This window comes from Homo sapiens, chromosome 22, assembly GCF_000001405.40.
Source record: "Homo sapiens chromosome 22, GRCh38.p14 Primary Assembly".
Classification (NCBI taxonomy): domain Eukaryota; kingdom Metazoa; phylum Chordata; class Mammalia; order Primates; family Hominidae; genus Homo; species Homo sapiens.
Window position 1 is genome coordinate 34,070,493 of NC_000022.11, and position 27,415 is coordinate 34,097,907.

The 27,415-nt window shown below is 43.0% G+C and overlaps 1 long non-coding RNA gene across 22 annotated transcripts in view; it reads left to right on the forward strand.

The window, feature by feature from the left end:
• LINC01643 (long intergenic non-protein coding RNA 1643) overlaps window positions 1–27,415 on the forward strand; it is a 201,365-nt gene that overhangs the window by 53,061 nt on the left and 120,889 nt on the right. For 20 of the 22 annotated variants that reach the window (NR_183600.1, NR_183601.1, NR_183585.1 and 17 more), the window contains exon 2: window positions 13,477–13,535. The exons of 1 other annotated variant lie outside the window; for it this stretch is intronic. This is a non-coding gene — a long non-coding RNA (long intergenic non-protein coding RNA 1643). Of the gene's footprint in view, window positions 1–13,476; window positions 13,536–20,490; window positions 20,743–27,415 lie in introns of all 22 variants that reach the window. One more of the 22 variants, NR_183602.1, reaches the window with a different exon arrangement.

The following is a 27,415-nucleotide window of genomic DNA, read 5'->3' on the forward strand; positions in this document are numbered from 1 at the left end:
AAGACTATGAATCTGATCATGGTAGAAGTCCATAATCTTTTATCTAAAACTTTGAGACTTCCAGAAATTCAGAATCTTTTGGATGGAGGAATAGCCAGATGTAGTGTATTATGTAGGTCTGGCATTGTACTATGGGCAGTACCCCACACCCAAACATGTAAGAGTGAAATACATGAATATTCACATGAAGAGGGATAAATAAAGACCATAAATAGCCTCCTGTACATTCAGACAGTGTTTGCTGCCAAGTGATTTTGTGCCAAACTTAGGAAAAAACCTTCAGTTGTCAGTTTTTAAAATTTCAAGAGAGTGGATAAAGGATCGTGGTCTTGTACTTTCTTTCTCGAAAATTCTCTAGTTTCTTATTGTCTCTTTCAGCAGGGTTTGAAAAACAGTGGAGAAGACGAGCTCAGAGGTTATGCAACAGCAGGATGGTCTATTATGTGCCAGGCCTCACCATGGACTAGGAGGCCCTTTGCAACCTAATTCCTGCCCACCTCTTGACCTGAATTTGCACTGCTGTGTCTCCTTCCTCTTCCCTTTGCCCTACCTTACCAGTAGACATTTCTGTTCTTGAAATAGTCCTGACTCAGGCTTTGCACATGCTATTCCCTTGTCTTAAATGCCTCCCTTCTATATGTAGCTGGTTTCTTCTCATTCTGACTTCACCTTAAATATCATCATCTTTTCACTCCATCCTACTAAATATTTCTTCCACTTTCCCCTAGAGAAGGCGATTGGCTTGCCACCTGTTCTGTTTCATTCCTTATTCCTTTACTATTGTCTATTATTCTTTTCCTGTTGTCTAAGGCTGCTTTCATAGTACAACAGGAGAGTTGAGTAGTTGCAACAGACTGTGTGGCCCCAAAGCCAAAAATATTTACTCTCTGGCTCTTCACAAGACAGGTTTGCCAGACCATGCCCTGGAGTTATTATATAGCAATCAGCTATATGATCTTTATTACATTACTCTATGAAATTATCTTATGTGTTATTTCATTCTCTTCTTCTCTACTGGAATGTGAATTTTATGAGAGTAGGGACCTTGCCTCTGTTTGCTCATGGCTATAATCCCAGAGCATCTGAAGACATTCAATAACATATTTTGTTTGCAGGACTAAATTAATACATGCTGGGTATATGTTGTGAGCAAAGTTGGTCTGACAACCTGCTAAGGGGCTCAACCTGCCACATATGTACCAGGTGGGGGAGGAAAGAATGGGATCAGGAGGTGGAGTGTATTTTCCATCTTTGGATTTTGGTTTCTCAAAGTAAGTAGCCACCCACCTTCCCATATCTGTCATTTAAAATGTGTCTTAGTTTGTTTTGTTTCGTGCTGCTATAGCAGAACACCTGAGACTGGGTAGTTTATAAAGAAGAAAGATTTATTTCTTATAGTTCTGGAGGCAGGGGAGTCCAAGATCAAGGTGTCAGCAGCTTTGGAGTCTGGTGAGGGCTTGTTCTCTTTTCCCAAGATGGTACCTTGAACACTGCGGGAAACTGTTCCTCACATGATGCAAGAATGGAAGAGAAAAGTGAGGGAGAGGGAGAGAGGCAGAGAGAGAGAGAGAGGAGGAAGACAGACAGAGAGAATGAAGTGGGGGGAGAAAGAGAGAGAGAGACCAAACTCATGCTTTTACAAGGAACTCACTTCCATGATAATGCATTAATTTACTCACTTCTGCCTCATGGCCTAATCGCCTCTCATGAAGCCCCACTTGTCAACACTATTGCATTGGAGATTAAGTTTTTAACTTTTTTTTTTTGGGGGGGGATGCATTCAAACCACAGCAAAGCATGAAAATAAAATGCAAAAAATCAATTTCACAGCCCAGCTTAGGATTTAATGGTGCGCTATCTACAATAGGCTATTGAGGTAATGAGGCTCCCAACCTTCTCAAAGGGCTCCTGCAACCACGTGGCAAAAATGCATGCAGCTGGCTCAGGCCACTTCCCTCCAAGACACCAAACCTCCTTCAAAATCAGCACATTATTAAAATATTTTGGTTCCTAACACTCCCCTGGCTTTGTTGACTCACAAAAATGGCTTTACCACCCCCACAATGGGGCTGTAATTGATGGAAGCCATCATCCTTTACATAGTGCTTTCTTGGGTACAAATGATTCTTTACAGAAAGAGAAGGACACCAGCTTTTCCCAAATTACATTTTGCTGGATAAATCAATAGCAATGACTTTCAGGCTCAGGAAGTACTTTTGAGGAGGAAAAGATGCTCGTTCAAGTGAAGGTGGGTTGGGGAGTAGGAAGAGGCAGCCGGGCCGTGCTGGGTAGATTTCACACTCAGGCACCATCTGCTGGATGTGGAGGAGAGATGGAAGCATGTCCTCTCTATAGGCGTCTGAGTAATGGGGATGTGTTATTTTAGAAACCCTGAGCATACAATAACCACTCTTGACTCCTGTCTTTTCCTTACTGTCTGCACCCAGTACACCAGTAAATTCTGTAGGTGCCACTTCTGAAATATTTTCTGCCCCATTATCACCATTAGTACATCTTGGTCAGCCACTGTCAGCTCACACTTGGACTAATGCAGTGGCCTCCTAACTGGTTTTCCTGCATCTACTCCTGCTATAGCTTCAAAAACTCATTCTTGTCAGCTCAGCCAGAGTGATCTCACCAAAACATAAGGCCATCTGTTCTGCTTAAAACCCTCTTGATGTGCTCACCATGGCCCAGGAGGCCAAACAGTCCTGCTGTTGCATAGTCTTTGAGCTCATCTCCTCCGCCCTTTCTTCACTCCCATCCTTGGTCCCCTTGCCGTACCCCCAACACCCTAAGCTTGCTCCTCCCGAAAGCCCTTCCCCAGGATGCTCATTCTTCCTAGCCCAGTGTTGCTGATTTTCCCGTCGGCTGCTTCTGGTCATACGGATCTCAGCTCAAATGTCACCTCCTCAGGGAGGCTGCTCTGACCTCTTGTCTATAAGAGCTCTTCAGTGACTTTCTCTCATATCTCTGCATTATTGTCTTCATCGCACTCATCCCTCTCTAAAATATCCTGTTTCTTTCTTTCTTTTTTTTTTTTTTTTTTGAGACGGAGTCTCACTCCGTCACCCAGGCTGGAGTGCAGTGGCGTGATCTCGTTTCACTGCAACTCTGCCTCCCAGGTTCAAGTGATTCTCCTGCCTCAGGCTCCCAAGTAGCTGGGCTTACAGGCATGTACCACCATGGCTGGCTAATTTTTGTAGTTTTGGTAGAGACAGGGCCTCATCACATTGGCCAGGCTGGCGTCAAACTCCTGTTTCTTTATTTCTGTACTTGCTTCTTATCTCTCTTGCTTTGCTTAATGCTTCAGCCCAACACTGGGCATAACGCTTGTGTGCCCAATGCAGAATAGGCACTTAAGAAATAGCTATTGCAGGTCTGAATGCTACTTACCTAAAAGTAGTGAGTCCCTTATTGAAGAACTGATCATTCATTCATTCAGTACATTTCCTGAGTGCCTTCTTGCTGCCAGCAACTGTGCTAGATAAATTCTGTAGGCAGAAATAAGAAGACACAGTGCCGCCCCTAGGTAACTTTTTCTATGGGGTGGACAACTGATGTACCACTGGTGGCAGGCAGAGGTTTCAGCCTGGTAAGTGCAAGTTCACAGAGCCGTGGACAACAACAACAACAACAATAAAAATCTTGCAGGATCACCCAAGGCTAGAACTGATATCCTTCAATAGAGTGGAGAAGACTTCCTAGAGGAGGCAGCATTTGAGTTGGGTTTCATAGGATGATTAGGAGATTGCTGTGAAAAGGGATGGAAGGGATCTAATGACTGGTCAAAACTAAATATAGCAGAAGTAGAAATAATGTGGGAAGATTAAGAAGGAGATAGATTTCCATAAAGCTTTGATTCTATGTTATTTCCAGCAATGAAAAGAAAGAAGAGGGAGAGAGAGGGTGTTCCAGGGAGAGAGGAGAAGTGGATGTGAACAGCCATTCTTTACCTTCAGTCTTTTCTTCCAAGTGATTGTGATGCTATATTCCTTCAATTAGTTATCCCACAAACACTGAGCACTCCAGTGTCAGGTGCGCCCAGGTGCTGGGGATACAGTAGTGAACAAGACGGGTGATAACATGCTCTTGGGCAGTTCGTAGTCCAGAAAAGGACAGATTTGTGGACAGAAAGCCTAGTGTGGATGTGGTCCATCTGCTCAGCGTTTTATCTGGGAAACTGAGTCCTTGCAGCATTGGCAGGAAGGGTATGGTGGTTACACGCACAGGCTCTGGAATCTGATCATACCCAGGTTCTAATCTGGCCTCTGACATTAACTGGATGTCTGATGTTGGAATCAGAGTTTCCTCTGGAGAAGCTGTGGGTCTCAGTTTTCTCTCAGGTAGTGAAATAAAGCAGATCATCTGGTTTCACTGAAGCAAGGGGATGAACTGAAATAATGCATGTAAAATGACTAGTGATGTCTAGCATATCACAGGTGCTCAGTGCACGCAGCTGTTGTTACCATCATGGCCCCTGTTAGTAGAGCCCTTACTATGGGCCAGGCTGTGTGCTAAGTGCTTTACTTGGAGTTTTCCAGTTGTCTTAGTCTGTTCAGGCTGTTGACAAAATACTGTCAGCTGGGTGGCTTATAAACCACAGAATTTTTTTTCTCATAGTTCTGGAGGCTTAGAAGTTTAAGATCAAGATGCTGGCAGACTTGGTGTCTGGTAAGGGCCCGTTTCCTGGTTCCTAGATGGCTGTCTTCTCACTGTATCCTCACATGGCAGAAGGGGGAAGGGAGATCTCTGGGTCTCTTTTAATAGGGGCATTAATCCTATTCATGAGGGTTCCATCTTTATTACCTAAGCACTTCCCAAAGGCCCCACCTCCTAATATAATCACATTGGTGATTATGTTGCAACATGTGAATACTGGGTGGATACAAGCATTCAGACCATTGTATGAGTGAATCTGCACAACTCAATGACAGAGGTATTATTATCATTATTATTATTATCTACCTTTTATAGCCAAAGATGCTGAACAAAGGCATTAAGTAAATTTCACAAGGTGATACAGCTAGTAGGTCACTCCAGCAGTGGGTAACTTCAGAACACTCTGGGCAGTACCTTTTCTCCTGATGGCCACAGAGACCCTGCTGCTCCCCTGGGCCAGGTCTGGGCAGCTACCAAAGACTCACCCGATGTGACATCTGCCCAAACAATGTCTGAGACTTTCTTCAGAACTCCTGACCTCTTCTTCTGACCCTTCAGCCCACTGACTGTTACTGTAGGCCTGCAGTTTGCCTTCTGACCCTCAGTTTCTGTATCTGTCAAATGAGGGAGTTGTACCCAAGCACTCCTGAGATTCTGAATCCCTACATTGCAGGAGAGGCTGTTGGGATGAACTGAGCAGCAAAAAGAAGGCCTCTGGGCCCTCCCTGAGAGCCTGAGCATTTTGGAGGGAGCTCCTGACCTCACTTTGTGAGTCACTGCTTGTTTCAGGGAGAGCACTGTCTTCTGGCTCTCCTCTCCTCCCGCTGGCACCCTTGTTTGAAATTCATTCCTACAGGATTATCTGGCAAAGTGCGTGACCCTGGGCTCCAAGGGGTCCTCAGGACAAGTTTAGGCAGAGTGGAAGCATAGCTCTGTGATTCTAGTGAACAGCTGAGATTGCTTCCAGGCAGCAGTGAAGCCGGGATATTTATGGGAGAAAGATCCTTTGCCCCTTCTTAAATTAATTGCACTTGACAGGGGTCAGCCCTCCTTCACCCCCAGAATCCATCGCAGTGAGGGAGGTTGTTCTCCCCTCTGCACAGACAAAACCCAACAAGGATGTCTGAGCTGCCTCAGACGAGGTATCTGACCTCAGGTTGGAGGACCTGAATTCCAGTTTTGACTCTTTCACGGCCAGTGTGGTGGTCTTGGCCAAGTCACATTGTCTCTCTGTGGCTCAGGTCCCATCTGGAAGATGGAAATAATATTTTCCTTACAGAGTAATAGTGAGAAACATGAAACAATGAGCAGGTGAAAGCTTCACCCAAAGCGCCCTGGACCCATGTAAGTGCTCAATGCATGTGAAGAATGAATGAAAGTAGAGGGATATTTGGGCCCAATGAGGAAGACTCTTTGAGGAGTCATACCTGTCCCAGGAAGGGGTCTTCTGGCTCTGAAGGTCATGAGATCTCATTTACTTGGTCAGACTAAGGTAGGACAGCCACTTGGCACTTGGGTAAGTTTCTTCATCTGTTTTGTTCATGGCTCTGTGTTGCTTATATTTCAGCACCTGGCACAGCACAAAATAGGTGCTCAAGAAATGCCTGGATGAACGAATGATTTGACAGAATGAATTGACGCAGTGGATGGGGTGCAGGGTTAGGCTGGAGAGTGTTTAAACTTGCTTCCAGTTCAGAGACTTTATGAATGTTTGAACTTTAGAGGGGGCCTTAACAACAGTATTCTCTATGCTTTCATGAATTAACCACTGCCCAGCCTTAGCCATCTCAGGCAAATGCTGGTCTGAGGGAGAAAGACAAAGACCATCTCTTCCTTTGGGTTACCTGGAGAGGGTGTTCGGAGAAGGAAATAGGGCTGTTTATGGAAGAAATGACCTTTTCTGCCCTTTGTGCCACCTGCCCACCCCCACTTCTGAGGATCAGGACTCTGAGACAGGGAGAGGGGAGGTTCCTTCCTATTGGACACACTTGACCCTCTTCTATTAATTCACTTGGCTTTCTGAGACTGCTGAACATGCTTCAATCTTCCCCTACAGTTGGCATTTGTGTCTATGCAGAGAGCATGGTTGGAGAGATTAGAGGGAGGAGATACTGACAGGAGGGCAGAAACAACAGCTTCCTGCTCATCTCTACAAGGCAGAGTGATTTTCAGCCAGGTTTTTCTTCCTCCCAGACACCCCAGCCTCCCTAAGTTCTCTCCCTGGTCATCCACTGCTCTTATCTGCATTTCCTCAGGCCCAGGGAGTATCTGAGAAGGGAGAACTATAAATTATGCTGTCAAATTGGATGGTACAAGAAGGTGGCAAGGAGATGAGAGGCAGGGCCTTTCCAGATAGCAACCAGATGAAAACAGGTTATAAATAAGGCATGGGGGGCCACCGTCTACACACTCTGTCCTTGACTTCTGTACGCAGGCTCCATGTTCTTGGCAGCCAGCCAAAGGCCGGTCTACAGATTTATTTCCTTACCTCGCCTGGCATGAAATTGTACTCTGGATTGCACCTGTGAGCAGCCCATTCACATTGCCTGGTTTTTGACCCAGTTCTCTTTTTCCTTTTTGTCTAAAAGGATGAGCCATGTGACGAACTGAATATTTGTGTTCACCCCACACCCCTAACAAACCCTGAATTCATATATCAAAGCCCTAATCTCCAGTGTAATGGTATTTGGAGGTGGGGCCTTTGGGAGGTAATTAGTTTTAGATTAGGTCATGACCATAGAGCCCCAATGATGGGATTAGTGTCCTTATATAAAGAGGAAGAGACTGCAGCCCACTGTCTCCCCACCAAATGAGGATACAGCAAGAAGGTGGCCATATGTAAGCCAAAAAGAGGACCCTCACCAGACACTGAGTCTGCTGGCACTGTGATCTTGTACTTCTTAGCCTCCAGAACTATGAGAAATAAAAGTATCACTTACGTTATCCAATGTGTGGTATTCTGCTCTAGCAGCCTGAGTAGACTTAGACAAGCTGCAAAAGCCAACTGGATTGTGGGCTCCATGAGGTTGAGTCCGATTTATCTTTGAAACCCTCTGGGTCTAGCTCAGCAGATGTGGTTACAGAATAAGTAATTGTAAAATGAATGAGTGAACAATTTTTTTCCCAAAGGCAATTGCCTGTTCTTACTACCATCTTATTTCTCCAGATTGTTCCTGATCTTCTTTTGCTTCATGTAAGTATGAATATGTAAACGTGCATATGGCTGCAAATAAAAGAAAACCTGGATGATCGTGGATGACACCATTAAGCATTTGTTGTTTTCTTAACAAGACAGGAGGTAGGCAGTCCCAAGTTTAGTTCATTGTCTCAACAATGTCATCAGGAACCCAGGTCCTTCTGCCACTTCCTATTTCGCTGTCCGCTGGACACTTCCCATGAATCCTGTTGATTTATGTGAACCTTCTCTTTTTCCATACAGATTTTTTTAGGTTGAAGATAAGCCTTTAGTGCACTGGTTGTAAACTGATGGCTTCATGACATTTGTGTTTAGCTTTCAATATTTAAAAAAAAATTTCGGTTAGCTTCCAACATTAACCTAAAAAGCTTCCGCACAGCAAATGAAAAAATCAACAGAGTGAACAGAAAACCTGCAGAATGGGAAAAAATATTTGCAAACTATGTAACCAGCAGGGGACTAATACTGGGAATTTATAAGGAATTCAGACAACTCAACAACAACAACAAAATCAATCTCATTAAAAAGTGAGCAAAGGATATGAATAGATATTTTTCAAAAGAAGACATACAAATGGCTAAAAAGCATATGAAAAACTGCTCAACATCACTAATCATCAGAGAGATGCAAATTAAAACCACAATGAGATATAATTTTGCACCAGCCAGAATGGCTATTATTAGAAAGACAAAAAATAACAGATGTTGGCAAAGATGCAGAGAAAAGGGAACGTTTATACAGTGTTGGTGGAAGTGTAAATTAGTACAACCTCCATGGAAAACAGCATGGAGATTCCTCAAAAAACTGAAAATAAAACTACCATTCGACCCATTAATCCCTCTACTTAGTATCTACCAAAGGAAAAGAAATGCTTGTATCAAAAGTATGCCTACACTTGTATGTTTATTGCAGCACTATTCACAATAGCAAAGATATAAAATCAGCCTAAGTGTCCATTAATGGATGCTTGGATAAAGCAGATGTGGCACATATACATAATAGAATATTAGTCAGCCATGAAAAAGAATAAAATCATGTCTTTTGCAGGAACATAGATGAAACTGGAGGTCATTATCTTAAGTAAAAGAATTCAGACACCAGAAAAACAAATACTGCATATTCTCAGTGATAAGTAGGAGTTAAACATGTAACACATGGATATCGAGTGTAGAATGACAGATAGTGGAGACTTGGAAGGGTAGGGGTGCAGGAGGAGGGTGGGTAATGAGACATTCCTTCATGGGTACAATGTTGGTTTTTCAGGTGATGGATATACTAAAAGCCTTGGCTTCACCATTATGTAATCTATCCATGTTACACATTTCCACTTGTACCTCATGAATGCATACAAATACAACATTTTAAAAAATATGGGATGTTTTACATGAAACTCCAGAATTTTGAATTCACTTTAAAAATTACAAAATCTGGAAACACGGCATAGCCACAGTGAGCAGAAACTGGTGGTGGTTGCCCTCTTTAAATAGAATGAGTGTGGTCCAGTTGTCCCGGGTTCCACCACTCCTTACTGGTTACATCAGATCGGCTTTACTCATTCATGTTACCTAAAACATCCCTGTAGGTAATTGAGTCTGAACCCCTACTTTAAAGGACTTTCACTCCTTTGGTCTGTGGTTTAAGGCCATCCGGGCAAAAGCTTTGTTAGCTACTCACTCCCTGGATTGCTCTAGACTACATCACCAAATCATCAATTGTTGGTTCTTTGTGGATTCCACCCATTGGCTCTGTAGGAATCTCCAACTGTCCCACTCTTTGAACTGATGTTTTAAACATCCCACTTCAAAATGTGAGGCACTATTAAGGTTTTGCGTGCATGAGACTATAAATTAATATACTAATGTTGTAATAGATTTGGAAAATACAGAATAATGTAAAGCAATGAGAATCAATCATTATTTCACCACTCATATAAGCCTATTAATACTTATGAATGTGTATATTAATAACATACTGGATTTATTGGGCACTTACAATATGTTAAGCTCTATTTTAAGTGCTGTACATACATTATTTTATTCGATTCTCCAAACATCCTTACGAGGTAGATATTATTCTTATCTTCCTTTCACAAATGACAAAGTTGAGTCATAAAGAAGTTTAATACACACAACTAAGGACACACAACTAATACATGTTGAAGTCTTGCTTTAAATCAAGCAGTCTGGCTCTAGGATGCACATTCTTGTAAATGACACCACACTACTCGGTATGTGCGTGCATGCCTATTTCATTTATAGTTTACTGGAGATTGCATCAACCACTCTGGGAAATAGTGCAATGAAAATCCCCTGCTGAGTTTTTAAGGAACTCACTGAAATGACCCAAGTAAGCCCTAGTATTTGGGAGTAGTTCCCCTTATTTTTCTGTTTCAATTGCTATTCCCTCTTAGCTTCCTCCTAGGCAACCAGAATCCTTGTCTGGTTGACTCAAGGGGTCAAGACATTGGCAAGGCATGTCTTTCTACATTTGGTGTTGCTTATTAATAATGTGAAGCTGATACTTTTTGAATTTTTTTTATTGTACTTTAAGTTCTAGGATTCATGTGCTGAACGTGCAGGTTTGTTACATAGGTATACATGTGCCGTGGTGGTTTGCTGCACCCATAAACCTGTCATCTACATTGGGTATTTGTCCTAATGCTATCCCTCCCCTGGCCCCCCACCCCCTGTCAGGCCCCAGTGTGTGATGTTCCCCTCCCTGTGCCCATGTGTTCTCATTGTTCAGCTCCCACTTATGAGTGAGAACATGCAGTGTTTGGTTTTCTGTTCTTGTGCTAGTTTGCTGAGAATGATGGTTTCCAGCTTCATCCCATGTCCCTGCAAAGGACATAAACTCATCCTTTTTTATGGCTGTGTAGTATTCCATGGTGTATATGTGCCACATTTTCTTTATCCAGTCTATCATTGATGAGCATTTGGGTTGGTTCCAAGTCTTTGCTATTGTGAACTGTACCACAATAAACATACGTGTGCATGTGTCTTTATAGTAGAATGATTTATAATCCTTTGGGTATACACCCAGTAGTGGGATTGCTGGGTCAGATGGTATAGGGTCAGGGGAAAGAAGCAAAGGAAATGAACTTTTATTTCAGAGCTATTGTGTGTCTCGCACTTGACTTTCATGATCTCACAATGCCCTGTGCAAATGGGCATTGTTAATTTCCTTCTTTTTTTTTTTTTTTTTTTTGGTGAGGAAAGAAATACAGAGTCACATGTTCAAGGGCACACAACCAGAAGCAGCGGACTGGAATTCGAATCCATGTGGAGCTAACTTTAGAGTTCATTTTTTTTTCAACTCTTCTGTAACATGCTGTATTAGATAATGTCACTAATTATAATTGAAAACATAGCCATCACATAATTTTGTCAGAAGAATTATGAATAATCTGTTGAGAATGTTCTCTGTCCTTTCTTACGGGCATCACTGGGAGATATGTGTCATCTTGTAAGTTGATTGATTTATGGATACACTCACTTTATGTCACTGAGCTGACCTTCATAAAGCTGGTGTAAGTTAAAGTTTTGAATGTAGAATCACTTGAAAGGGCTTTTTTGTGCACTCAATATAAAGATGGAACCCTAATGTATTGTAAATCAATATAAAGGGGGAACTGTATGTGTATTAGTTTGTTTTGTGTTGCTATGAGGGAATATCTGAGATTGGATAATATAAAGAAAAGAGGTTTACTTTGGCTCACAATTCTCTGGCTGTACAGGAAGCATGGTACAGGAAGCATGCTTCTGGCGAGGGCCTCACAAAGCTTACAGGCCTCAGTGTAAGCTTCTCTCATGCTGTGATAAAGGGAGCAAGAGAGAGGAGGCAGTTCCAGGCTCTTTTAAACAACCATATCTCATATGAGCTCACAGAACAATAACTCACTCATTACCATGAGGAAAACACCAAAACTTTCATGAGAGATCTGCTCCCATGACCCAAACATCTCCCACCAGGCCGCACCTCCAACATTGGAAGTCACATTTCAACATGAGATTTGGAAGGGACAGAACACCCAAACTCTATCAACATGGAATATAACTGCTCTGTCAACCTCTCTTTCACAAAAAATCTGATTTTCTTTACTTTTCTTTTTTTTTTTTTTTGAGACAGGGTCTCGCTCTGTCACCCAGGCTGGAGTGCAGTGGCATGATCTCGGCTCACTGCACCCTCTGCCTCCTGGGTTCCAGCGATTCTCCTGCCTCAGCCTCCCAGGTAGCTGGGATTACAGGCACGTGCCACTATGCCCGGCTAATTTTTGTATTTTTAGTATAGACAGGGTTTCACCATGTTGGTCAAGCTAGTCTTGAACTCCTGACCTCAGGTGATCTGCCCGCCTCGGCCTCCAAAGTGCTAGGATTATAGGCATACACTACCACGCCCAGCCAAAATCTGGTTTTCTTAAAGGGAGGTACCCCTGTTGTGATGATGTATGACTGTACACAACTATAGTTCTAAACCATCTTTGATTTTAAAAATTCTCCCGATTTATTAGAGCAGCATTATAGTACCATTTATGATCTTCTATTACATGATACGTACTTTTGAAGCACAAAGGCAGCAAATAAATGTCTTTTGAATGAGTGAATTTAGTGAGCAAATACTATGTGACAAGAATGAAGGTCTGAAGGGAAGACAGATATGTAAACACACAGATACAATAGTGTGATCAATATAACCAAATAAATGTTCTTCTATTGTCTATCATCCATTTATTCAAAGGCATTTAATATTTAGCTCCAACTATGAGCCATGCTCTAATGTAAAGGCTGGATACACAGTGAAGAGAAAAAGATATATGCCCTCGTTCTCTTGAGCTTATGGTTTTTCCACACATATCTGCATAGGAGGTAGCATATTATGTTGTCCAGGTGCATAGGTACTAGCCCCAAACTGCCTGGGTTCAAGTCCTCCCACTTGCTAGCTCTATGACCTTGGGTAAGTTATTTAACATTTCTGTGACTTAGTTTTCTCTGATGTCTTATGGACCCAAAAACAGTATAATACCTACCTCCTAGAGTTGTTATGAGGATCAAATAAATTAGTATTTGAAAATACTTAGATTAATGACCTTCTCATAGTGAAGGCAAAATGCCATTTGTCAATGAAGCAAGTGGAATGGCATGTAATAAACCTGAATTGTTCTACTTTTGTGAGATCCACATTCCGCCTATACTATCTATTATCTCTAAACGGACACATTTTAAAACTTAAATGTTTATCTATGTACTACCAAACATCACAACTAAGCCTCATTTTGCCAGGCGGGATACATTGTCATAAATCTAATGATGGCACAGGGCACTTCCTCTCTGAAGCCCTCTTTGTCCTCCAGGCAAGATCAGCAATACCATCCTCTGTGCTTTCACATACTTTGTGGCAAGCTCTAGTAAGTGCTCATCAGAATGCCTATAGCTCAGTCCTTACTCTTGGCCAGTTGGCCCATAGGAGGCTGATCCTTTGGTTTGCCCTGCCCATGTGGTTCCAGACCTATAAATATTGGAAATCAGAAAAATTCCACATTGTGGAATTTTTAAGACATAGGGAAAACTTGGAAAAGCTCTTTGCATGAACTGTTCAATAACTGTCAGATATCTTTATAGGAATATCTTTGTGCTGATGTGTCCATCAAGAGAACATACACAGAAGTGACACTTGCCAGGTAAGGAACACACCCACCTGAGATTGAAGGGGCTTTGGAATGAGCATGGGGCAGAGCTAAGGAGGGTGTGTGTCTGGAGTAGGTGGGAATGAAGGGTCATGGAGCTTTGGAATAAGCATTGGGCAGAGCTAAGGAGGGTGTATGTCTGGAGTAGGTGGGAATGAAGGGTCATGTTCTGAAGCTGTTTCTGACTCCATCTTTATGAGGTAGGAAGGAAAGGAGCAGAAGCTCACGCATTCTGCCCAAATGGCCAAGAGTGGGGGCTGAACTCGAAGCTGTTGCTGCAGAAGAGAGGAAATTAATACCTTTTATCTTGGGAGTCTGGAGGAAGCCATGTTTCTGTTTATTTCAAAGGGTTTAGAAAAGGATTCACCAGGCAAACAGTAATAAAAATTCATCCTAGGTAGAGGGAACAGCATAGAACAAATGCACACAACACCATGAAATATTTGGTTGATTATTGACATTTTGACAGTATTTGAATTTAGCAGGTCACCTGAAGAGTTTCTAGAGAAGAGAATATAGAAGTAAGTAGAGAATTAATCATTAAGGTCCTTGAGGGTCCCAAGATGCTCCTGGTTGTATTAAGAGGTTGAATAAAAATGAAAAATTCCCCATGCTGAACCACTTCTGCTGAGTGCATTCTGAAACAAATTTTTAAAAAATACATTTCTTTTTAATACTTCTGCATTAACCAGTCTGAGGAATCTGGCATTTAAAGACATAAATGTTTCTGAAATACCCCACCACAGCAAAATATCTGAAAATGTTTCTTAATTGTTAGAAAAAAACTATTTCTGTACATGCCTGGAATGAGTTTTTTTAAACACCACCCTTCAACAGACCATCTTTCCGGCCCCAAGTGGCTGAGGATGGTGGTGCTAAGTGGTTTAATAGAGATGCTGTTGTCTCTCTCTTGCATATCACGCCTCCACTTCAATGTATAATTTTACTTTTTTGCTGGGTAAGTGCCCTAAAAGGTTGCTATAGATGTATACCCAACACATGAAAGAGTGTCAGATGATCAGTCAAGCTGCCTCTGTATAACCGGCCTGGCAAAGGCGTTTGAAAATCCTTTTTCCAAAATGTACTTGAATCCATCCCATTTGAATGAGCTCCATGCACATTCACCACAGCCATCACCTTTTCAATCTGCCTCAAGCAAATACATGTCCTTAAACAGCTTCCTCTGGAAAGCAAACTTCCCAAGGGGAAGTGAGAGGAGGGTCATGCTTACTTTACAGTTGAAGGCAAATGGAAATGTATTGGATTCCATTCTGAGCCTTGGACAGTGGGCCTCTCTGCTGCCATACCCCCTCCAAGAAACACCCCCTGCCCTGGCCCTTGGTGTTCACTGACCTTGCCCTTCCTTGAATGCACATATCAATTAGAGTTGGTACTAGGCAGTTTAGTTCTTGGATATCAGCTGTCTTGAAGTTCTCTCTAATTGTCATCATCATTGCTATAGGCATCAATAGTGCTTATAGCTCCAGAACATGCCACACTCTCTCATCCCTCTGGGACTCTGCTACTGCGCCTGCACCCTCTCATCCCTGAGTGCTGCTCCTGCTACTTGGAATGCTCATTCCCTCTCTTTGCTGCTAGACTGTAGTCATCTGTCTGGGTTGCTACAACAAAATGCCGTAGACAGGGTGGCCTAAACAACAGACGTTTATTTTTCACATTTCTACAGAAGAGAAATTTCAAGATTAAGGTGACAAGAGATTCAGTTCAGGTGTCAGTTCTTCTGGAAAGCCTTACCTAATTCCCTCGACATTGGCTGCATTCCCTCTCTGCAAATTCCTCTTATCACAGCTCAATTGAGCTGTGCCACTGCAGACCATTTATTTGCCTCTCTTCCTCACTAGATTGTGAGCCATTTGAGGGTGGAGGCTTGTCCTTCGTTTTTTGAGTATGCAGTGTATGTAGGAGGTAGGAAGTGTTCAAATAACGATTTAATGAAAGTAGGAGCAATTACTTTTAGAAGAAATGCATAATGGATGAACTTATTGTCCACTCTTGGTAACATCCCCAATCACTACACTCTTTGTAGGGCTTTTACTGTTTTCCTAGTTTCCTAGGGAGATAGAATTAGTGATGCTTGATTCCTCCTTGGATGGCTGTTTCTAACCCTTTCCTGGTCAGACCTTATCCAACTCACCCTGTGCCTCTTGTTCCATCTGTGTCAATATGTGTATGTGTAAGTATGTGTGTGTGTTTCTGTAAGTTCTCCATGGGCTATATAGCAGTGGTTCTCAATCCTACTTATACGTTAGAATCACTTCAGAGCTATTATAAAGTTAATGCCGTTAGCAGAACAGATCATGAATGTCAATTTATATTCCAGATACCATGAAAGCAGCTTTCATTTGGGCTTCCTAGTTAACCAACCTCCTAACTAGGGTAGGGGAAGGAAAATAGCTCCGACATCTGTTCAGTGGGACCTCGAATTTTCAGCCAATGTGTTCAATTCAGTCCTTGTTTGATTACCCAAAAAGAGTCATCAGTTTAAGTCAAAGTATATTTCTGAGTTCAGGAAAGCAGATTCTTGGGACAGACTCTCTAAGAGTGACTATTCATTGGGCAGGATGGGAGAAATCCTTTTATTCATCAGTCTCCTACTGTTTGCAACTTCTTGTTTTTTTTCACGTTTTCTAACAATCTTAGATCTCTGGGCAATATGCATGCTTCTGGTGGACAGGGAGGAAACTCACATTGAGATGAAGAGAAGAAAAACACAAGATCAAATGCTTGTGCTCTGTTCACAGCTTTATTCTGGCATATAGTAGCTGCTCAGGAAATATTTGTTGAGTGGTTGAGTGACTAAACATTTTCTCCTTACACTTCTTTCTTTGGCAAAATTTTGTGTTTCTCCCTTCCTCAAGAATATTAAGGTTTGTCTAGGAATCCCCATTAGCCTAGACCAAATATAGGATGGTGGTTCAGGCAGGTTACTGAACCATGGTTTTTAAGCCTGGAAGCAATTTTCTTTGTGGATGGCACTTTCACTAAGTGTGGTTAGTATGTGAGTCTAGACACCTGGTGAGTGCTCACCTCCTTCATTTGGAGCTGCCCATCTGTTTCTGTTTCTCCCATTCTACATTGTAAGCCACATACCCTGATCGCTACGCTCCAACTTCCTAGGGTCTTTACTGTTCTCCTAGTCTCCAAGGGCGATGGAAGAAGTAGTGCTTGATTTCTCCTTGGATGGCTGTTTTTAACCCTTGCCTGCTCAGACCTCATCCTACTCCTCCTGTGCCTCTTTCTCTATCTGTGTCAATATGTGTGTGTATAAGCATGTGTGTGTGTTTCTTTTCTTTCTTTCTTTTTTTTCCTCAGGCAGAGTCCCACTCTGTTGCCCAGGCTGGAGTGTGGCAGCACAATCTTGGCTCACTGAAATCTCTGCCTCCCAGATTCAAACGATTCTCATGCTTCAGCCTCCCAAGTAGCTGAGATTATAGGCACATGCCACCATGCCTGGCTAATTTTTGTATTTCTTTTTTCTTTTCTTTTTTTTCTTTTTGAGACAGAGTCTCACTCTGACCCAGGCTGGAGTGCAGTGGCGTGATCTCGGCTCACTGCAACCTCCACCTCCCTGGTTCAAGCTATTCCAGTGGCGTGATCTCGGCTCACTGCAACCTCTGCCTCCCTGACTCAAGCGATTCCCCTGCCTCAGCCTCCCGAGTAGCCAGGACTGCAGGTGCATGCCACCATGCCCAGCTAATTTTTTTGTATTTTTCGTAGAGATGGGGTTTCACCGTGTTAGCCAGGATGGTCTCGATCTTCTGACCTCATGATCTGCCCGCCTAGGCCTCCCAAAGTGCTGAGATTACAGGTGTGAGCCACTGCGCCCAGCCTAATTTTTGTATTTTTAATAGAGATGAGGTTTCGCCATGTTGTTCAGGCCGGTCTCGAACTCCTGGCCTCAAATTATCTGCCTGCCTCAGCCTCCAAAAGTGCTGTGATTACAGGCATGAGCCACTGTGCCTGGCCAGAGTATGTGTGTGTGTTTCTTTAAGTTCTCCATTGGCTATAGTGGTGGTTTTCCTGCCACTGGCTGTATTTTCTTATCTAGTATTCCCTAGCAATCCTTGGTTCCCTTCTTGCAGGCTCTACTACCATAGTCTGCTATTGTATACTTGCTTATTCAAATCTGTTACATCACACAACATTAGTTTGAATTTGCAAAGATTTTTTTCTCTTTCTTTCTTTCTTTTTTTTTTTTTGAGACAGTGTCTTTCTCTGTCCCCCAGGCTGGAGTGCAGTGGCATGATCTGGGCTCACTGCAACCTCCGCCTCCCAGGTTCAAGCAATTTTCCTTCCTCAGCCTCCCGAGTAGCTGGAATTACAGGCACACACCATCATGCTCAGCTAATTTTTGTATTTTTTGTAGAGACGGGATTTCACCATGTTGGTCAGGCTGGTCTCGAACTCCTGACCTTGTGATCTGCCCACCTTGGCCTCCCAAAGTCCTGGGATTACAGGCGTGAGCCCTGGCACTCAGCTGCCTCCGTTTTTTATGAGTGGATATGTGTGCTGGAGTCTGTGATCTTGGTTATTTGCTTCTGTATTTGCTTTGCTCCATCCTTAGACTTCTGCTTCTCTGCAGAAGTTTCCCTTGGAAACTCTGAGTCCTCTTACTGGAGCATGTAGGTATTAATGGTCCCTTGGCCACAGATGCAGCCCACAGGAGCCCAGAGCGCTACCTCCAGCTCATCCATTGATACACTCCCATAGCAAGGTTGGCACCTTTGTCTCTCTCTGTGCCACTTAGGCATGACCCTAAGGCTAAAATCTGGGGCAGCTGATGCATCTCCCACCACATTTTCCTTCCACTCTTCATTAGAGAAGACATTTGTTTTCTCACCTCCCACATAGTCTGCATCTTTTTTTATTATTATTATTTTATTTATTATTATTATTTTTTTTAGACAGTGTCTTACTCTGTTGCCCAGGCTGGAGTGCAGTGGTGCCATCTTGGCTCACTGCAACCTCCATCTCTTGGGTTCAAGTGATTCTCCTACCTCAGCCTCCTGAGTAGCTAGGATTACAGGTGCGCACCACCATGCCTGGCTAATTTTTTTTTTTTTTTGGTATTTTTTGATACAGATGGGGTTTCACCATGTTGGCCAGGCTGGTCTTGAACTCCTGACGTCAAGTGATCCACTCGCCTCAGCCTCCCAAAGTGCTGGGATTACAGGCGTGAGCCACTGCACCTGGTCAATCTGCATCTCACTCTTATCTGTCTTTACCACTCTACTAAAATATCTCATGAGAAGATCTCTTAAGATGGGGACATTACTAAATTCAGTGGACGCTTTTCCACATTGATTTTGCTTGATCTTGTAGCAGTTGTCATTATTCTTTGTTTTTTTTTTTTGAGACGGAGTCTTGCTCTGTTGCCCAGGCTGGGGTGCAGTGGCGCGATCTCGGCTCACTGCAAGCTCCGCCTCCCGGGTTCACGCCATTCTCCTGCCTCAGCCTCCCGAGTAGCTGGGACTACAGGCACCCGCCACCATGCCCTGCTAATTTTTTGTATTTTTAGTAGAGATGGGGTTTCACCGTGTTAGCCAGGATGGTCTCAATCTCCTAACCTCATGATCCGCCCACCTCGGCCTCCCAAAGTGCTGGGATTACAGGCATGAGCCATCATGCCTGGCCTTCAATACAAGTTTACAAAAACTAGTTGTGAGTGGATTTTTTTTTTTTTTTTTTTTTTGGATGTAGATAAAGAATGTGAGTTTTTGACCAAGGAGATTTGCGCTTGAAAAGAAGTTCTTCGTGGGGATGCAGGAATCCCAACCACAAAGAGTTTGCAGAAAGTTCATGGTGTTTTAGGGCTTCTCTAGGCCCCAAAAGTGGGAAGTTGGGGCAATCATACCTAGATATCAAATACTAGAGATTTAACTTCCCCGGAGTTTTAACCATATAATATTGGGTGAGGCTTGAGGAGGCCAGACACAGATGAGGAGAGATAAACTGGAAAGGGTTTTACAGTTTTGTCATGCGAAGTTCCCTGCAGAGACAGCACCCATGCAGGGGAAGCAATGGGGTGGTCCTGAGGCAGAGGGAGGGAGGGAAATCCCAGGCAAGAGCCTTTCTCGTGGCTTCCGTGGGAAGGAATGAGCAGGGCAGGGCAAGTAGGCTAGGGCTGACTAATTTAAATAATTCCAGTGGGTTCTGGGGCATAGAGGCTGTCCTTGGTTGTCTGATCCCTGACCCTAGGATGATTAGGGTGGGTGTATAGTGGCCCAGAATGTGACCTCTAAAAGGGAGATGGTTGGGGTGTGGACTAAAGCAGCTACTCAAGAAGGAGGAACTGACTGGCCTCCAGCTAGGGCCTCAAAAGTAGATCAAGGCAGCATTTTAACACTACATTATTCCTACCTAATTCCCCACTCCTCTGAAGTATGGACTCTGGCAGGGTAGTGATGGTTTCTCTCCAGTTCATTGGTGTAGTGTTAGGACCTAGAATAGTACTTTCCTCGATAGTATTTCCTGGGTAAGTGCTCAGTTAATAATTGTCGAAAGAAAGAATGTATATAATTTCTTCAAAAAAATTGAATGAATACAAGGAGAAAATTTATAGATATGTTAAGAGACCCATTGGAAAATCTCCAGTAAGCTCAGGTTTTTGGAAGATGGTGGCCAGATTCAAAAGTGGAGTTTTCAATGTGAGAGAAAAGTTCACAACAAGCGTATCCTTACATATCCTGAACCATACAAAAATGATGCTGCCAGCATTACATGAAGCAAGGCAAAGGAAAAAGAGAAGCCCACTATTTGAGGAATAAAAAAATGATGTCATCTCACATGTTAGAAATAAACTTCAGGACGATGCAATTCTGAATTGTCTCCATCCATATCCACGTGGGAAATATGATTTATTATGGACATCTAATTTTTGCTCCTCTAATTTTGTATCCATTCCTCCTTCCTTTGGTGTTAACAACAGAATCTTCAGGGGACCACTCATTCTCTCCTCTTCAGTCATGAGGCTCTACAGGTGACTTCAGCTCATGCTCAGATCTGACCCATCAGAATCAAGTGAATAGTCTGAGATCAGATTTATGATGCGGACAAAGCTGATGAGAATACGCCCTGTAGTTCTGCTGGAACATTGGGAAAAAGAAGTCCTCTTTCTGCTGGAGCTTCAAGCTCATAGAATGAAGACGGCGTGCTGGGGACCATCTTGTAACCATCAAAGGCAAGCCCATGTGAGACTGAAGCCAGTAGAGAGGAAAACAGAACCAAAAGATGGAGACAGATGTTGGACAGTTCTCCTGGAGTACCTTAGGCTTTTATTTACATTAGTCCATAAAATCCTTTTGTTTTCTAGTTGGGGTTTGAAACTGGGTTTCTTTAGCTTTTAAATGAAAGGGGTTCTGCCTAATTCAAGATATGAACGGACAAAGGTGAATAAGCAGCGTGGAGGTAGAATGCAGCCCCGTACAGGTGAGATCACAGGTGGCATCGGAGAGGAAGGGGGAAGACGGTTGCTCCAAATGAGGTGACAACCCGAGTCCTCAAAGATTGCATCCCAGGGTGCTAGAAGGAATGTCAGATGGTCTCAGAGCCAAAGTCAGTGATCCTAGAAATCAAGACGTCAAGGAATGTAAGAACAAACATCGGCATGTTTTGTCCCCGTTTTTTGTTTTGTTTTGTTTTGTTTTGTTTGTTTTTTGAGATGGAGTCTCGCACTGTCACTGGGGAGGAAGTGAGATGGCGCCATCTCGGCTCGCTGCAACGTCCGCCTCCCAGGTTCACGCGATTCTCCTGCCTCAGCCTCCTGAGTCGCTGGGACTACAGGCGCACACTACCACATCCGGCTAACTTTTTGTAATTTTAGTAGAGACAGGTTTCAGACGGAGTTTCGGTCTTGTTGCCCAGGCTGGAGTGTAGTGGTGCGATCTCCCTCACTGCAACTTCCACCTCCCAGGTTCAAGCAGTTCTCCTGCCTCAGCCTTCCCAGTAGCTGGAATTACAGGCATGCACCACCACGCCCAGCTAATTTTGTATTTTTAGTAGAGATGGGGTTTCTCCATGTTGGCCAGGCTGGTCTTGAACTCCTGACCTCAGGTGATCCACCCGCCTCAGCCTCCCAAAGTGCTGGGGTTACAGCGTGAGCCGCCCCACCCAGCCGTGCCCCCATTTATAATAAAGTGTAACCTGAACACTATAACACACTGAACTGAACTTTAATTCCATGGAGTTCCAACACAGCAAAGAGATGGTTTATGGACATTTGAGAAAAACAAATCACTTGCAGCTAACATATATACTCACTTGCTAAACTCACAACTTTGCTTTAAAAGTAAAGTTTTGTGATTGGCAGATAATGAAATGCCTAAGATATAATAACTATAATAATGATAATAATGATAATAATGACACTTCCTGAAGACAGGCCCCTTATGCATCTTATTCATAGCTCCGTCCCTTCACCTAGAACAGTGGCTAACACACAATAGGTGATCAATACATATTTCTCGAATAAATGAACAACAAGGCTCGTATTTATTGAACACTATGTGCCAGAGAAAGACATGGAAATAAAATTTATTAAAATTACAGATAATGATTATAATAACAACACTTACAGAACAAACTGTGTGGCAGGAATCAATTTAAAGTATTTTACATATATTACATCTATTAACTTCATTAAATACTACAGACTGAATTGGATCTCCCTCAAAAAAAATCATATGTTGAAACCTGAACCCTCAGTATCTTAGAACGTAACTATATTTGGAGCTAGATAGGGCCTTTAAAGAGGTGATTAAGTTAAAATGAGGTCATTAGGGCAGGCTCTAATCTATGACTAGTATCCTTATAAGAAGAAGAGATGAGGTCTGGGCATAGTGGCTCATGCCTGTAATCCCAGCACTGCAGGAGGCTGAGGCAGGAGGATCCCTTGAGGTCAGGAATTTGAGACCAGCCAGGGCAACATAGAAAGATGCCTGTGTCTACAAAAAACATTTTTAAAAAGTTAGCCATGTGTGGCTGTATGCACCTCTAGTCCCAGCTACTCAGGAGGCTGAAGTGGGAATATTGCTTGAGCCTAGGAGTTTGAGGCTGCAGTGAGCCATGATCGCCACTGCACCCCAGCCTGGATGACAGAGTGATTCTGTCAAAGAAAAGAAGCAAGAGATGATTAGGACTCAGACACACACAGAAGGATGGCTATATGGGAACGCAGGGAGAAGATGGCTATCCTTAAGCCAAGGAGAAAGGCCTTAGAAGAAACCAATTTTGCTGACACTTTGATCTAAGACTTCCAGCCTCCAGAATTATAAGGAAATAAATTTCTGTTTTGTAAGTCACTCAGTCTAGGCCACGTGTGGTGGCTCACACTTGTAATCCTAGCACTTTGGGAGGCCAAGGTGGGTAGATCACTTGAGGTCAGGAGGTCGAGACCAGCTTGGCCAACATGGTAAAACCCTGTCTCTACTAAAAAAAACAAAAATTAGCCTAATGTGGTGGCATGCACCTATAATTCCTGCTGCTAGGGAGGCTGAGGCAGGAGAATCTCTTGAACCTGGGAAGTGGAGGTTGCAGTGAGCCAAGATTGCACCACTGCACTCCAGCCTGGGAAACAGAGTGAGACTCTGTCTCAAAAAAAAAAAAAAAAAAAAAAAAAAAAAAAAGTTACTCAGTTTATGGCACTATGTTATGGCAACCTTAACAAACTAATCCATTACTCTTGTAATAACCAGGTAGTCTGACTTCAGGGTTCATACTCCTAACCACTGTGTTACACTGGCTTGCACACAACAATGGCTAACGTTATTGGCCACTTGCCAATAGCTGCTCAGTAGCAAGGTGGCTGCCTAAAATGAAACCTTCTGTAGTGCCTCATGCCTTTGTCAGTTTCCTTCAGCATTTTGTTCCCACTTTTATTACTTATTCTTCTATGTCTTGCTTGTTTTACCCAGGTGCGGTGTGCTTGCCCTTGGTCTGTGGTACTTGGGAAGAGACCCACAGGTTGCTAACTGAGATCTCATAGAATCTCATGGGATCTACCATCCTTTTCCATATAATACGATCATTTGGTCAACTAAATACCAGAGAAGTGTAAAGCAAAGATCGTTTATTCATTCAACAGACTGACTTGCTCAGTTCTTTTTATCTGCCAGACTGATCACACACTGAGGCTGGAGAAGTGAATTATCTGTCAGCTATGGCATGCAGCTCTGCCATCTTCTTGCTGTGAAATGAAGTTGATATTCTTCTACAGAGGGCCGTTGTGAGGATTATTAAATAAGATGGTTTATGCAAAGTGCTCAACACAATGCTAGTGACGGAGATGGCCTTAACTTTCCTCTAGGCTTGACTTGACTTTAGACAGACTTCTTTCTCACTTGGGGTCCTTCTCTTCCCTTTTTAGAGCATTTACTTTAGAAAATCATAATTGTGAATTCTTTCTCTGCCCCTTTGAGATGTAAATCTTTTTATTTTTATTTTTGAGATGAGGTTTCCCTCTTGTCGCCCACGCTGGAGTGCAGTGGTGTGATCTTGGCTCATCACAACCTCTGCCTCCTGGGTTCAAGAGATTCTTCTGCCTCAGCTTCCCGGGTAGCTGGGATTGCAGGTACCCACCACCACACCCGGCTAATTTTTTGTATTTTTAGTAGACACAGGGTTTCATCATGTTGGCCAGGCTGGTCTTGAACCTCTGACCTCAGGTGATCCACCCACCTTGGCCTCCCAAAGTGCTGGGATTAGAGGCATGAGCCACTGTGCCCGACCATAAATCTTTTAGATCGCACCGCTGCACTCCAGCCTGGGTGACAGAGCAGGACACCATCTCAAAAGAAAAAAAAAAATTCTCATATTGTTAATGAATTTGTGTTATGTGGCTCAATTATATTAATAACAATTGAATTTCAAATAAAAAAAATTCTCTTGCCAGTGGACAACCCAAGAATGTCTTTCTCTAGGACCTGGTAACCATCCTTTTGAAATGTAATCATCATGGAAGAGAATCCCTCTACCTATGGGAGGGTAGGAGCCTAACTTTCAGTGGGCACCTTGCTCTGTGTTGTAAAATTTCTTCCTGTCAAGAAGATGCAAGAAAGCTTATTTTCCTTTGGGTAAGGCCAATTAGCAAGCACAGGTCACCTATGGTCCAACTCACCCTGGCTCTTAAAAACTCCCCCACCTTCAAAAGAAGACATTCATGCAGCCAACAAACATGGAAAAAAAAAAGCTCATTATTAATGATCATTAGAGAAATGCAAATCAAAACCACAATAAGATACCATCTCATGCCAGTTAGAATGGCCATTATTAAAAAGTCAAGAAACAACAGATGGTTGCAGAGAAATAGGAACACTTTTACACTGTTGGTGGGAATGTAAATTAGTTCAACCACTGTGGAAGATGGTATGGTGATTCCTCAAAGATCTTGAACCAGAAATACCATCTGACCCAACAATTCCATTACTTGGGTATATACCCAAAGGAATATAAATCGTTCTATTACAAAATACACGCATGCGTATGTTCATTGCAGCACTATTCACAATAATAAAGACATGGAATCAACCCAGTTGCCCATCAACAATAGATCAGATAAAAAAAATGTGGTACATATATACCATGGAATACTATGCAGCCATAAAAAAGAACGAGATCATGCCCTTTGCAGGGACATGGTTGGAGCTGGAAACCATTATCCTCAGCAAACTAATGCAGCAACAGAAACAACACTGCATGTTCTCACTTGTAAGTTGGGGTTGAAAAATGAGAACATACGGACACAGGGAGGGGAACAACACACACTGGGGCCTGTTGGGGGGTGGGGTAGGGGGAGAGAGAGCATTAGGAAAAATTGCTAATGCATGCAGGGCTTAATACCTAGGTGATGGGTTGATAGGTGCAGCAAGCCACTATGGCACATGTTTACATATGTAACAAACTGGTACATCCTGCCCATGTACCCCAGAACCTAGAACAAAACAAAGCAAAACAACCTCTTCTACCCTTTTGGTTCAGTGCAGTTGACTTCAGATTGAGTTCTGGCCTCTCTTCCCAATTGCAATACCCTTGACTAAAGCCTGCCTTGCTGTTTTTTTTTGTTTTTGTTTTTTTCAAAATATTGATATACCTAGTTGAATTTCTTCTTTTCTGTTTTGTTCCAGTTTTCTGGAACAGGCACTGCAAATGAATTACTTGGAAAATATCACACAGTTAACATTGACCATAGAAGCCATGTTGCATGTCAATAACAGTGCAGATGCTTCTGAAATGCCAGGTGTTTCCCCATCCACATTTTATTTATTTTATTATTATTATTTTAAATTTATTTTTCCACAATTTATTGGGGTACAGGTGGTATTCGTTACATGAGTAAGTTCTTTAGTGGAGATTTGTGAGAACCTGGTGCACCCATCATCCGAGTAATATACACTGCCCCATATTTATTGTCTTTTATCTCTCACTCCCCTCCCACTCTTTCCCTCAAGTCCCCAAAGTCCAGTGTATCATTTTTATGCCTTTGTGTCCTCAAAGATTAGCTCCTACATATCAGTGAGGACATACGATTTTTGGTTTTCCATTTCTAGTTACTGCCTTGCTGTTGAACTTTACTCAGTGCACTTTTAAATTTTGACACCAGGTATACAGTAAGTGTTCAATAAATATTATGCAGTAAGTCTATTATTATGCTGCGCTTTCTGACCTCAAGAACCCCTTATGGTCTTCCGGTGAACGGTGTGTGACATGACCAAGGTAGGGCCTGACACCAAGTTAGGGCTCATTAATGGTTAATCACCTCTGATTTCTCCATTATTGTGTGCAGGATGTGTGTAAATCATGAGCATGTAGAGGTGTGTAAGAAGTAATCATTGCCCCCCCCATGACCTTATAGTCACAAAGTCTGTCATATAACAAGCATTCTATGATCATGTGGCAAGATTTTAGAAGAGGTTGTGCAATCAGCTAGGGAGTACACAGGCAGTGACAAAGCTCAGCCTGGTGACTGGGGAAGACTTCATTTTACCAAAGAGGGACCAGCAGGAAGAGGAAGAGGGAAGACACAGGGTCAGAAAAGCATGTGACATGTTGGAAAGCAGGGAGCCGTTTCCTGTAGCTGGGGTTCAGTGTATAGAATTTGGACTGGGGGCCAGGCGCGGTGGCTCATGCCTGTAATCCCAGCACTTTGGGAGGCCGAGGCAGGTAGGTCACCTGAGGTCATGAGTTCAAGACCAGCCTGACCAACATGGCAAAACCCCCGTCTCTACTAAAAACACAAAATTAGCCGGGCATGGGAGGTGCATGTAATCCCAGCTACTTGGGAGGCTGAGGCAGGAGAATCACTTGAACCCAGGAGGCAGAGGTTGCAGTGAGCCAAGATCACGAGACTCCGTCTCAGAAACAAACAAACAAACAAAAATTGGATCAGGGAAGTGGGAAGAGATGAAGCTGGAAACATAAATTGAAGCCTGATTGGTGAGGTCATTTTATGGCCACAGCATTCGCAGTTGATAAGCAGGCATGTTGCATGGAAGGCTTTTAAGTAATAGGTGCTATAGCCAGTGTTTGATTTAAAGAGGTCAATGCTGATAGTGTGTAGGTTAGATTGAAATGTACAGGGTTTTCATCAGGAACAGGAAGGTTAGCCAGGGGGTTTATTGGAATTGTTTGGATAAATGATGATGCAGGACTCAACAGTGGCCGTGGAGGTGGGGAGGGATGTGGGGAATTTATAAGAGAATGGCAGGGAAGAAAGTGGAGTGTAAGCTAGAGGAAGGGATCATGCGAGGTTAGAAAATGGCATAGATCACAGTAACATTAACCAGAGCAGAGAGTGCAGGAGGAGAGGCTGCATTGGAGGCAGAAGGGAGGCAGGGAGAGAGACGATGGATTCAGCTTTG